General features: G+C 42.8%; 1 protein-coding gene across 33 annotated transcripts in view, besides 1 other annotated feature; it reads left to right on the top strand.

The window, feature by feature from the left end:
• Positions 1–13,478, top strand: part of ARHGAP26 (Rho GTPase activating protein 26) — a 458,635-nt gene that overhangs the window by 15,172 nt on the left and 429,985 nt on the right. The window contains exons 1-2 of one of the 33 annotated variants that reach the window (XM_047416983.1): positions 1,133–2,100; positions 3,882–4,033. The exons of 29 other annotated variants lie outside the window; for them this stretch is intronic. Coding sequence is in view for 2 of the 4 variants with exons in the window: in XM_047416977.1 (XP_047272933.1) it covers positions 7,183–7,225 (43 nt within the window). In the remaining 2 variants the exon portion in view is untranslated. 3 more of the 33 variants (XM_047416985.1, XM_047416977.1, XM_047416987.1) reach the window with 3 other exon arrangements.
• Positions 11,878–12,379: an enhancer, noted in NCBI's record as "NANOG hESC enhancer chr5:142176991-142177492 (GRCh37/hg19 assembly coordinates)". NCBI's record gives its function as "activates a minimal SCP1, AML or CMV promoter by ChIP-STARR-seq in primed H9 embryonic stem cells {active_cell/tissue: H9 hESC(primed)}" and the evidence as "EXISTENCE:reporter gene assay evidence [ECO:0000049][PMID:30033119]".

A 13,478-nucleotide genomic window follows, 5' to 3' on the forward strand; every position in this document is an offset into this window, starting at 1 on the left:
GAATGGGTACCCCAAATCCAGTAGGTAGATGCATTCCTTCATTTCTACAGAGGAAAAAAATTGCCAGTACTATCCTGATTTGGCTGGTTGCACTTCAGGGTTTCAGCTTTAACCATTTTAGGGACTATTGACAAAAGTAAACTTTTTATATGCTGAAATGGTGATGTTTGGGGGTGTCAGTGGTCTTAACAGGAAAGCCCTTCTTCTTCACTAGCAACCTTGCATTGTTCTAGGAAATTCCAGTCCAAATGTAGAAAGCGTGTTTTCTACCATCTGTATGTTTTCTCTTTCTCTCATTTGCTTTCCTCCCTTCTTTTTCTTTCCCTTCACCTTTCCCCACACACCCCCATCATTTGTTCACTGTGTCTGGCCTTCTACCATCTCTCTCTTGCCTTGCCAAAGGACCAGGGAGGTGACTGATCCCTGGTATTTTTTTTTTTTTTTAAATAGACAGAGTCTTGTCTTGTCACCCAGTGTGGTAGTACAGTCATAGCTCACTGTACCCTCAGACTTCTGGGCACAAGCAATCCTCCCACCTCAGCCTCCCAAGTAGCCAGAACTACTGGCTTTTGCCACTATGCCTGGCTAATTAAAAAACATTTTTTTTTTTTTTTGTAGCGATGGGGGTCTCAGTGTGTTGCCCAGCTGGTCTAGAACTCCTGGCCTCAAGTGATCCTCCTGCCTTGGCCTCCCAAAGTGCTGGGATTACAGGTGTAAGCCATGGTGTTTGGCCCTAATACATTTTTTAAAAAGTTAATTTCTTTAAGAGTTGGGGTCTTCCTTTATCACCCAGGCTGGAATGCAGTGGTGTGATCATAGCTCACTGCAGCCTCGGACTCCTGGACTCAAGTGTTCCTCCCACCTCATTTTCCTGAGTAGCTGGGACTAGAGGAGCATGCTACCATGCTCAGCTAAGTTTAAAAAAGTGTTTTTAGAGATAGGATCTTGCTGTGTTGCTCAGGCTGGTCTCAAATTCCTGGCCTCAAATGATCTTCCCACCTTAGCCTCCTGAGTAGCTGGGATTCATCCCTGATATCTCAGTTATGGAGAAAACAAAGCCTTTGGTAAATGGAAATGACGTGAAACAGATTTCTGGAGTTCTAGAATTTTTTTTTTTTTTTTTTTTTTTTTGAGATGGAGTCTTGCTCTATGCAGTGGCATGATCTTGGCTCACTGCAACCTCCGCCTCCCGGGCTGAAGCAATTCTCCTGCCTCAGCCTCCCGAGTAGCTGGGATTATAGGCACATGCTACCACAGCCGGCTAATTTTTGTATTTTTAGTAGAGACGGGGTTTCACCATGTTGGCCAGGCTGGTCTTGAACTCCTGACCTCGTGATCTGCCCGCCTTGGCCTCCCAAAGTGCTGAGATTACAGGCATGAGCCACTGCGTCCGGCTTGGATTTCTATAATTATAGCTAAAATGACTCTCAGCTTTGAGGTGACTAAGACATTCTGGTTCTAGAGAACTCTTAGTCGGACTGTGAGTGGTCTCATCTAGGTGAACAGCACTGTCTAGGGCTCCCTTTCCTGTTATACTTCCTGTGTTACATTTCAGAGTGAGAGGATGTGCTCAGAACCAGGGTGGGCACAGAACTTCTGGCTCACTGCTTAGCCGTTCTGATGGGTAACATTTAGTGGCTTATTTTCTACCTCTCTAATGGGACCTGATGACAGTGTCAAGTGTCTCATTTTTATCATTGGGGTGGGAGAGTGCCATTAAAATGGTCTTTAACAAAGTAGGTCAATAATTTATATTTCAAGAAGGGAAATTTGGGGACATGGAATGAGAGCATGTTATTTGGGTTAGTTGAACAGCTCCAGAAATAATTACGTATTTTTAATGCCTATTAGGGACCTAGAAACCTATTTGGGGAGGTCAGGAAACTGGGTATGAGATCTGAGTCTTTGCAGGTGCTCGATCTAGAATCTCCAGGGAGAATGTATTTTGGACATAAACAATGAGACGTGGATAAGATGGATGGCTTACATCTCCCTCCCTTGGACAGCCAAGCCCACAGCTGACAAAGCCACTGACAAAGCCAGCAACACCAAAGGAGCAGGCTGACCCTTCTGCCTTCTCCTGACTTTCTGTCTACATAGGTTAGTCATTAAAAGGAAAAAAAGCAATCCAAAAACCTGTATTTTTTCTTAGATAACATGATTATATAGACAATACATGTTCATTAGAGAAAATTTAGAAATTACAGATGGATAAAATAAAATGCAAATTATGCCTATAGTACTGATTAGAGATTGTCATTTTGGTTTTATAGTCTTTTCAACAGTTCATGATCATCCCTATGTATCATTAACTACTCTCTAAGATGGTTTTTGGTGGCTACATAATACTCCAAGTATATTGTGTGAAGACTTTTTGAACTGGTGACCTATTTTTGGATGGTTAGGTTGTATCTCTCTCTCTTTTGTCCATGATTATTAACCAATTCTTTTTTTTTTTTTTTTAAGATGGAGTCTTACTCTATTGCCCAGGCTGGAGTACAGTGGCATGTGGCATGATCTCGGCTCACTGCAACCTCTGCCTTCCAGGTTGAAGTGATTCTCGTGCCTCAGCCTCCCCAGTAGCTAGGATTACAGGCACGTGCCACCATGCCCAGCTTATTTTTGTATTTTTAGTAGAGATGGGGTTTCACCATGTTGGCCAGGCTGGTCTCGGACTCCTGACCTCAAGTGATCCACCCACCTTGGCCTCCCAAAGTGCTGGGATTACAGGCACGAGACACCGCGCCCGGCCAATTAATCAGTTCTTTTAAAACCAGCTCCCATTTCTCTGCTTGCTTCCCGACTCCCACCCCATTTTTTTGTTGCTGGTTTAGCAGAACCTTGGGGACAAAGAGAAGATACATTACCAGAGTGTCACAGAATAACAAATTTCATATGTTGAAAGCATGATTTAAATTTATTTGAACCATACTAATAGTACAGTTGACCATCTGTATCTGTGGGTTCCTCATCTGGGGATTCAACCAACCACAGATCAAGAATATTGGGTTGGGAAAAGAGCATCATTACTGAACATGTTCAGATGTTTTTTCCTTGCCATTATTCCCTTAACAATACAGTACAACAACTGTTACAGAGCTATTACCTTGTATTAGGTATTATAAGTAATCTTGAGATGATTTAAAATATGTGGGAGGATGTGCTTAGGTTATATGCAAATACTATGCCATTTCATATCAGGGACTTGAGCATCCATAGATATTGGTATCTGTTGGGAGTCCTGGAACCAATGCCCCACAGATACTAAGGGACAACTGCAGTAGAATATCTCCACCATTTAAGTGTTTTCTGTGAGTCAGATGCTTTTGTTAAGTGTTTTATAAAGTTTATTTCATTGAACCTTCACAACAGTCTTAATGAGGTATGTACTGCTCTATTCATTTATAGACTAGCAACGGAAGCATAGAGAGATTAAGTGTCTTAGACAACTAAAAAGTGCTGTTGTCAGAATTTGAACCTTGATCTAATGCCAACCCTTTTGCGTGGAACTATTGTTATACTGCTGACTATAAATTGTTAGCCCAGCCCTTAAATCTTCTGTTTTCTCATTTACAAAATGGAGACACAAGTGCTTACTTGGGAGCATTGGAAGAGTTAAATGGGGTAGCACGTGCAAAGCAGCAGACACAAAAATGTAGCAGCTATTGCTACTCTAATCACTCATTATTTTCACCTTTTGTGAGATAGTAATAGTATAGACATTTAAACAAATTGTCTCTCTGCTGTCTCTACATCTGAATCTCTGGCTTGCTCAGTGGAGATAAATCTTCATAATTATCTCTGGAAATTAGAGTAGACCTTGTACTCTGGCCAGTATTATATTGAATTTAATCCAGATGTCTTCGTTTTAATCTATCTAGTCACAAGATTCTGCAATCTTTTCTGGACTGTTTGGGAGGCTGAGTTATCAAAAATCATTATAAAAGCAACAACATCACATGAGAGCCCCTCCCATCCCAACCCATCTCACTACCCAGAGGTGATTACTTAAGAGTACTTCTTTGAGTCTAATGTAAGTATCTGTTGTAGTACTTAACAAAAAGTTGCCTTATTTATATAATTGTTTGTGTTAAGGACTGATCTCCATTCGCTGGTCATGAATTATTTCCGTTCTCAGCACTAGAAGTTTACATTTCCTTGCACCCCCACCCATACACACTCCTGCCACTTAGCAGACTCGAACACTTGGGCGGTTCTGGGGTAAACAACAGCACAAGACACTCCAAAACATATCTAGACTGGGTTATGATGGGATCTAGGACAAGGGAACCCTTCTTTCCTTATGTATCCAGGACCAGGGCACTCTTTCTTAATCTCTGCTGTATTTCTGAAGTCATTTTAGTTATAACAACCCACATAAGAAGCCGATTGCCCTAGAAAGGAATCTAGAACTGGGGACTGGTAGAATTTTTTTTGAATACAAATCAAGATAAGGTCTTTATTAATCCAGTCAACAAATGTTTATTGTACTCTAGCTGTATGGTAGGCATTGTTGTAGTGTTGAGGGGTTAGCTTTGAACAAGATTAAATTCCAGCCTTATGGAGCTTTTGTTTTTGTGGGCAGACAAACAAGTAAACAAGTGAGCAGGATGCTAGTGGATAGTGTAAAGTACCATGATGGAAATGAGATAACACTGAGTGATGGATGGTAGAGGGTAGAGGCAACTTTAGATTATGTAGTCCGAGAACACTTCTCTGAGGGGCTGAATGACCTTCCATTCTGGGCCTATAGTTGGTGACCACAGTGTTGAAAATTGTAAGGCATCCCTTTATTAAAGGAAAGACTCTGCTGGATAGTATTTTTTCCCATCGTATTTCTCCTGTTTTTGTAGGCAGAATGATATTCTTACTCATTGGAATCATGACCACCTGGAACCTTAGTGATCTTGGTAAGATAGAATCCATTTCTTACATGGCAGGCAGACCAATATTTTAGAAGTCATAAACCTTATTCCACTCTTTCTCATCCAGAATTTCCCAGTGGCTTCCCATGCCATTCGTCATACAGTTCGGACACCTTACCATGGTTCATGCGGCCTTGTATGATCAGGCGTCTGCCTACCTTGCCTAATGCCTCTCTGACCTTCCTCTTTCTACCTCACTGTGTTTAAGCTTGGCTGACCTCAGATTCCTCTGATGCTCTGAGCACTTTCCCGCCACCTTCTCTTACTGTTCCTCTGGAATGCCTTTGCTACAGGTTTTTATGTCATCAGCCTTTCATCCTTCAAGTCTCAGCCAAAGGTCCTCTCAGAGAGTCCTCCTCTGACCACCTGACCTAAAGTCTCAGGTAGCTGTCCCATCCTTCCCCTTCTATCTCATTACCCCGTTTAGTAGTCTTTATGGTACTTCTCACCCTCTAAACTCCCCGCTGCATGTTGAATAAATGATGTCGAATGTTCCTTTAAAGGGCCCTTCTCAACCACTTGACTTTTTTCTAGAAGCAACTCTAAGTGTTGATGGCCTCAAGCATCAAGCATCTCTTGGTTCTCCTTAGGGTTTATTTTGCTTTAAAGTTTTTTTTTTTTTTTGAGACAGAGTCTCGCTCTGTTGCCAGGCTGGAGTGTAGTGGCACGATCTCGGCTTACTGCAACCTCCACCTCCCAGGTTCAAGCGATTCTCCTGCCTCAGCCTTTTGTCTTGGATAAACCAGGTGTAACTGCTCTGATAGGGTGGCATCTGGCTTCCTTTGGGGTAGCCCAAGAAATGATGAGTTAAAAGAAGCAAGAATCAGAACTAAGTGTAGATTAATGCTGTCACCAGCCTCCATCTCCTCTCCCATTCTTTTGCCAGTGTGCTCATTCTGTTTCTCTCTTAGGTCTCTATTGCTTTACTTTTATCAGGTAGGGGAAAGGGGAGAGAAATTGAATGTTTCTAAATATCTTTCATAAGTAGCACTATGCAGGAAGGCCAGGTCTGCTTGGCTGGGCCAGTTGACTTTCGGTGAATTGATGTGTTTCCTAATCTTCACACCTAGAAGAAATGGACTGATGGCTGACTCTTAAATTGACAAAGCCGTTTGTTTGTGTATATGAAACTGCTTTAAAAAGAGAGATTTTGAATATTAGAGTATATATTCTCCTCCCTACCCCTCGCATTTAAAAGGTGTTAAGTTGGCTGGGCATGGTAGCTCATACCTGTAATCCCAGCACTTTGGGAGGCCAAGGCGGGTGGATCACCTGAGGTCAGGAGTTTGTAACCAGCCTGACCAACATGGTGAAACCCCGTCTCTACTAAAAACACAAAAATTAGCCAGGCATGGTGGCACGCGCCTGTAGTTCCAGCTATCTGGGAGGCTGAGGGACGAGAATCGCTTGAACCCGGGAGGCGGAGGTTGCAGTGAGCCGAGATCACAACAAGAGCAAAACCCGTCTCAAAAAAAAAAAAAAAAAAAAAGGTGTTAAGTTTTGACAAATCAGTTTAGTTATAGTAGCACAAATGGGAAGGTATACTTTATAAGCCTCCTAATCAATTACAAAAGAGTCATTTTTCACTTTCCTTTAAAATTAAAAAGAAGTTTCTCTTTGTCCATATTTCAGGCCTCTCATACATTGTTTGCTGACAGCGTTTCTGTGTTGGAACCACATCTCTTGTTCTTCCAGTAGATACCCTCAGGGCATAGTTTCTGCACAAAATTTATCTGAAATCTTTAGTGACCTTTTGCAGGATTTAATATCAGTTCATTTGGATAGTTCCACATGCATAAATGGGCCTTAACAGGAATTTAGCAAACAAAAGATAGTGCCTCCCATACACCTTCTTATTTTTTAGGCTTGCTAAGTAAAATTTAAGCAGAAGAGACTGTCTCTGTCTTTCTCTTGGGCTCCGTTTCTGTGTTTTTTGTGGAACACTACCATTCTTAGGTAGAGTGGGTAGGGAGAGAGAAGGAACAGCATCACCTCTTCTCTATTTTTGCTCACACAGATGCCCTGTTTGGCGACATCTAAGCACTAGAGACTTATTGACCCACATTTTTTTTCCTCCTTCTCCTCCAGGGTACTGACCGTGCAGGGATCTAGTACCACAGTTACTTCTAAAATGTGTTGCCAAATGTAGAAATCTCTATCCCCATTGACTTCTCAGTTGGAAATTAGTTCATGACCTAGAGACTGAGAGCACCCCGGCTGTGCTTTCAGAGCAGGAGTCCTTGGATGTAGCTGTGGAATGAGCAGCGTTGGAGGATTTGAAAAAATCCTGGACCTGAAACGTAAGCTGGCCTGTGTTTCCCTGATGTGCCCTATGCCTTTTATTGTGCTGATTTCTACTATCTTAATAAATAGTAACATTAAAGTTCTTTCTGTGTTCAAAACCTTTTCCTTGTTTTCCTATCAAACTGTTTTTGAAAGCCTATTTCATCTATTTTGAGCAACACTGATAACTGATGTTCATCGAAGGCAGAAAGGTTGGAGGAACTTTGGCCAGTGTGGGGCAGACAGAAACCCATGGGTATTCCCCCTAGGCATCAGGGGCTTTGTCAGCTGCATTCTGCCAGCTTTGTAGAACAGCATGAATCCACTCCTGCCCTCGAGTAGTGGGACCGCAAACAGTACATGGTGCATGACCTGGAGGCCTGACATTCGTTCCTCTGCCTGTCCACTGGAATGACCAGGCTGAGGCTGGTCGCCAAGCAACCCTGGACCTAAAAGAAGCAGGAGAATTTGCCCACTGATTGTTATATCCCTTTGCTTTTTTTTTTTTTTTTTTTTTTAATCTATCTTTCTTTAGAGGCTTGAGGGGTCGTAGCTTTGGTAGGAGGTGATGAAGCATGCTAGTTTGAAATACTGATGGTGAGTCTTAGTGTTTTAGTCTCACTGGTCCCAGCTCTAATCTGATCACTTGGTGTTAAATTAGGAGGCCTTAATGTCTCTCTGAGAGCCCCAGAGAGATGGAATAGATGGGGAAAAGAGAGTTGAACCCCTTCAGGTCTCAGTATGGACATGGAGTATTGGTGAGGAGCTTTGCTGACAGTGAAGGCAGTGCTAGTTATCACCATTCTCTCAGTTGGTTTTATTTATTTATTTTTTCTTTTTCTTTTTTTCGAGACAGAGTCTCACTCTGTCACCCAAGCTGGAGTGCAGTGGCATGATCTCGGCTCACTGCAACCTCCACCTCCCGAGTTTAAGTGATTCTTGTGCCTCAGCTTCTCGAGTAGCTGGGATTACAGATGTGCGCCACCATGCCTAGCTAATTTTTGTATTTTAAGTAGATACGGGGTTTCTCCATGTTGGCCAGGCTGGTCTTGAACTCCTGGCCTCAAGCGATCTGCCTGCTTCGACCTCTCAGTGTTGGGATTACAGGCATGAGCCACCATGCCCAGCCTCAGTTGGTTTTAATAAGTTACATTTGTAGAGGCGGTGCTTTCTTCTGGCCACACCAAACGGTATTTTCCATGGTGAGGGAGAGAAGAACCAATCCAAGCGGCTTAAACAGAAAGGGAATTTGTTGTGGTACATCTCTGGAAAGCCCAGTGATGTTCTAACTGAAGACCTGCCAGACTCTCGTGACTCCAAAGGATATCAGCAGGCCCTGGTCTCTGCATCTCTCAACTCCACTCTTCTCTAGGCTGGCGCCATTCTCAGGCAGTCTTTTCCTTCACATTGGTGGGATGACTTGGCCAAGATTTTGAAGGGAAGCCCTCAGCATGGTTCTCATTGGCTCTTTGTTGAAGCCTGTGCTCATCCTTGAGATAATCCCTGAAGCCGACCTGACCCAGCCCCAGAGTAGAGTTGACAGTGGGTAAAATAAGTGTTCTGAAAGTCAGGGAGGGATGATTTCCCAGAGGAATACTGGGGTGCTATAAATACAGAAGGAGGGGGGACAGAGGCCAAGGCAACGCAGTTACTCCACACTGGCATAAGTAAATTGAGCACGGTCATCTGTGGAAGAGAAAGGGCCCTGCCTTCCAGATATAGCATGGTTGTTACCCACATTTGAAAATTACTTTGGGCGATCAGGCTGTGGTTTAATAAAGTAACCCTGGACATTCAAATTTGTAGGGGGAAAAATGAGATACTTTTAGTATTTTAGTATTAGGCACCACCAGGATTGGGCAGACTGTGAGCAGCCTAAGAATAGTGTTTGGGAGTTAAGTGCCTAGAGAGTAGGGAACAGGGATGTCAGGCAGATAGGAGGGAGAGAGGGGACTGCCCCTGTTGGGACAGATGATAAGAAATGAAAACAAAATGATGTATGAGAACTATTAAGTAATGCCACAGAGTTCTGTAATACCCCGGCCAATGATTGACTGCCCTGTAGCCCAGCCAGTACGAGAGCTAGTTCTTTATCTTCCAGAGTCTCTTTCTCTTTATGATATTTACATTTTGGGAAATAAACTATAACTAATAGAGCTTGTTGTGAATCTGTTGATGTCTCGTATAATGGATTAGACTACAAAGGTGGGCAAGCTTTTTCTGTAAAGGGCCAGTTAGTAAATTTTTTAGGCTTTGTGCGCCACATAGTGTCTCTGTCATATCTTCTTCTTCTTTTTTTTTAAAAAAATTTATAGCCCTTTAATAATGTAAAAACCATTCCTAACTCACAGGTCATACAAACACAAGGCAACAGCCACATTTTGCCTACCCCCAGAATGGGTTTTGGAGTCAGATAGACCTGGGTTCCAGTCCTGGTTGTTGCCCATTGACTGTATGGGCATTTTAATCTCTCAGAAACTCAGTTGCCTCAGTTTTCTCATCTGTAAAGTGAGGCTGATGAAAGTGACCACCTCGTAGGGTTATTGTGAGGATTGCTCAGAAAGTGTTGGCTCTTTGGAATGATATTGTTGACTCTTTACCACCGCACAGCATGCTCTAGGGAAGAAGAGGCCAAGCTCTAATGGTCTTTGTAATCTCAGTTGTTCTTCCTCTTTTGGTGCCTCCTTTTTCTCTGTTCTGGGCAACTCTTCATCAGGTTTTGGGAACTTGGTGCCAATCTCAGTTTCATTTCTGGTGTGTTCAGGAAGTGACCCACATTTTAATCCATATTTGACAGTAACCAAAATAAATTGGCTTGGTTCATTATCCAAGTGTAGAATATGTACTTGTTTTGCTTCCAGCCCCAAATTCCCTCCGTATCCACTTTTTCATTACATTACAATTTATCGCCTATCAAGGCCTCTTATTAAAGCCAGGAGGATAATTTTTTCCAGTTTGAAAAGAGAGAATGTTAGAATTGTGGAGTTTTGTTTGTTGAACTTGGTAGATGGATGTCACCAGGTTTGGAAAAGGGGCTGAATTTATCCCCAGAATCTCAGCCCTATTACCTACCACTTTGTACAGGTAAGTTATGATGGAATGGATAGAAATCATGTGACCTCTCAAATCCCCAGGATCCTGAAAGTATCTGCCCTCTTTAAGACTTTCTCAAATGTCATCTCAGCAAATTCTACCCTGACAGCCTCCCCCATCCCACTTCTCTGCTCTACTTTTTTCTATAGTACTTATCTTGTTTTAACATGCTGTATAATTTACTTTGTTTACTAAGGTGTTTTTCTGTGTGTGTGTGTGTGTGTGTGTGTGTGTGTGTGTGTTACGTCTCTCCTACTAGAATGAAAACTCCACAAGGGCAAAGATGTTTGCCATTGTTCATTTCTGTATAACCAGTGCTTAGGATGGCATCTGCTGTATGGACAAATATTTGTGGAATTAATGAATGAATGCTTTGATTCTTATATTGGAATGTTTGCTACATCCTATTCTCTCTGGCCAAAGAAGACATAAGACTTGGGTTTAAATATTGACTCTGCCACAAATTGCCTCTGTCTTTGAGCAAATTATTTAATCTCTTAGGACCGTAGTTCTCTTATCTTTAAAATAAGGGGTTAGAGTAAATGATTGCTAAAGTTCCTACTAGTTCTGTAGTTCTGTGATTATAATCGCTGGTTAAAAGAGATGATGTACTGCTATTAAAATTCCCACATATATTTCCTAAAAACAGTTTGAATTTCATTGGTGGGCAAAGTGAATCAAGAGTTTCAGAAAAAAGTCTTTGGAGGCACCTTCTGCTTTCACTAAAACAGTTCTCAAGTATTACAGTGTAGTTGCTTTCAAGAACGTTTCTGCTAGCCCTTTTAGGATAAAGTTCAGACGTCTTGATAGGGCTTTCTGAGCCCTGTGGACTCTGGCCCCTGCCAGCTCCTCCAGCCTCACATTGCCTATGTGTATAAGCTCTCTGCTCCAGTCCTGAATCTGTTTTGATTTTTTCTAATGGATAATGGGTTTCCCAGCATCAGTCCACTGAATATTTCTGTTCCTTCTGCCTGGTGTCTCTGGTACCATCCCTGTCCTCCTTTGTTTGGCCAGTGCCTACTGGTTGTTTAGGTCTCAACACACAGAGGGTGTGGACTTAGGGAGGGATTGCCAATGGGGTTCCGTTTCCACTGGGAAGCTCACTAGCTATAGCGTGGTGTCAGAAACTGACTAGCCTGGTTGGCTATATCATCTGTGCAATAAGAATCCAAAAGTTGTTGGAATTAGATTGCAGAAGGTTTAGGTGACACAGTGAAGAGTCTTTGTTCAGTGGACACTGGGAAGTCACTGTAAGTTTTTTGAGTAGCATAGTGACATAATCAAAGCTTTGTGAACTAAATAGCCCGGATATACCTCTAAGAGCATTGTATCATTTCTCTGATCCCTAAAACATCCTTTGGGAGATAAATGCTAGGGTTCCTGTTTTGTAAATGGGGAAAAGCTAGGACACTTAATGATTAAAGGACTGATTTTCAGCATCATAGGAAAGCAGTTGATTGAGCCAGTGTTTTTATAATTAGATAGAATTGTGATCTGTGGGATTGATGAATGTTGCAAGTAGTTTTGTTCATTTTTCAAGTGGGCAACAAGATGAATATTTGAGTGTTGAGAAGCTGTCCCTCAAAGGTGACTGACTCAAGGATTTGTCAGGAAGCTTTGGCAGAGACTTGGATTCTGCTTAGGAGATAAGTGATGCTTTTGGGGGTGGTCACAGGGTGATTTTTTGTATCATAGCTGTCTGTGCTCACCCTACGTGGTTGCTTTTGTTGTGTTGACTTGGCAAGATCAAAGAACAGGTGGATGCTGATTTCCCCTTCTGGCTAGTTTAGGAATTGAGAGTTCTCTCACAGCAACCCTCGTCTGTGATTCCATTCTATTTAAACCTTAAGGCAGGTATTTCGGTTTTGCAGCTTCATTGACAAACTGTTTAAAGCTGAGTTTGAAAAGGCAAGTCTTTGGTGGTATGATTGATAATCTCCAAAGACCAGTTGCCACTCTGTTGGGGGAGTGCTTTTCAAACTTTAATGTGCATCCAGATTGCCTGGGGACCTTGTTAAAATGCAGGTTCTGAGGTGGGGCTTGACATTCTGCATTTCTTACAAGCTCCAGTTGATGTTCATGCTGCTGAGTTGCCTGTGCTAGACCAAGTTTCCCTTTACCTGACCCTTCTTCTTTTCCGCTATGTCCCAGCCTTTCTCTTTCTTGATGTCTTGGACAGTGGTCCCCATTTAGGGGCTACTAGCATTTGCCAGGTGGACTCATTGATTAGCTTGCGGCTACCACTATAGCCAGGGTGGTCTTTTCAAAATGAAAATCTGATCACATATGCCACTTCAGTGCTTAAAACCCTTTAGTTGTCTCCCATTGCTCTTAAAATGACCCCCTTATTGTGGTCTGTCTTCCTTTGCCTCTCCACTCTCATCTTACACCATCTCTGCATCTTCCGGCAACAGGACCCTTTTTCTGCTCCCTTTGATGCTCATGTGCCTCCTCTATCACAAGGCTGTGGTACATGCAGTGCCCTCTGATGCAGCATTCCTCCGCTTCCCTTCACCTCTTCCTCCTTTTATGTCTCAGCTCAAATGCCACTGCCTCTGGAAGCCACCTGGTTTCCCAGTCTAGTGACCTTCTGTCATTGGTAGGCTTCTTTGGTGTATAGCTGGGACCAGCATCAGAGAAACAGGCTTGGTTGGGGCATGGTGGGATATTGTGCTCTGACTGTGCTCTCAAATGGAGTATTGTGTAGCATTTTAGGAAGTTGTAGATTGCCTAAGAGCTGTCTTTCAAAAGCCACTCTGCCTGGAAGGGTGGTGATGGTGCAAGTACACTTTGTGGTATGTAGCGAGAAGAGGAAGAGCAAAGAGTTTCCGCCCAGGACCTATCATGCCATCTAAAGCTGGGTTTGTGTCTATGTATGCACTTGGTGAACAGTTATATATCCCTCCCCTCTTCCCCATGCTTCTCCTTTTTCTACTGGTCTTGTCATTTTATAAATGCAGGAACTATATACCCTCAGGGAAGGAATTGACTAGTTCAGGGCTGTGGGATATATGGCTGACCTGAGAAAAGAATGCAGCTCTCATTGCAGCATGGAGCCCCTTCATCCACCAGGCCAAGCTGGTCTGGCATTTGAGTGGTAACCTTGAAGGCCCAGTAGCTGCCTGGCAGCTTTCCTGGGCATGGAAACAGCCCTGTTTAGGTGATGCTGTTCCTTCC

This window comes from Homo sapiens, chromosome 5 (assembly GCF_000001405.40).
Source record: "Homo sapiens chromosome 5, GRCh38.p14 Primary Assembly".
In the NCBI taxonomy this organism is placed as follows: domain Eukaryota; kingdom Metazoa; phylum Chordata; class Mammalia; order Primates; family Hominidae; genus Homo; species Homo sapiens.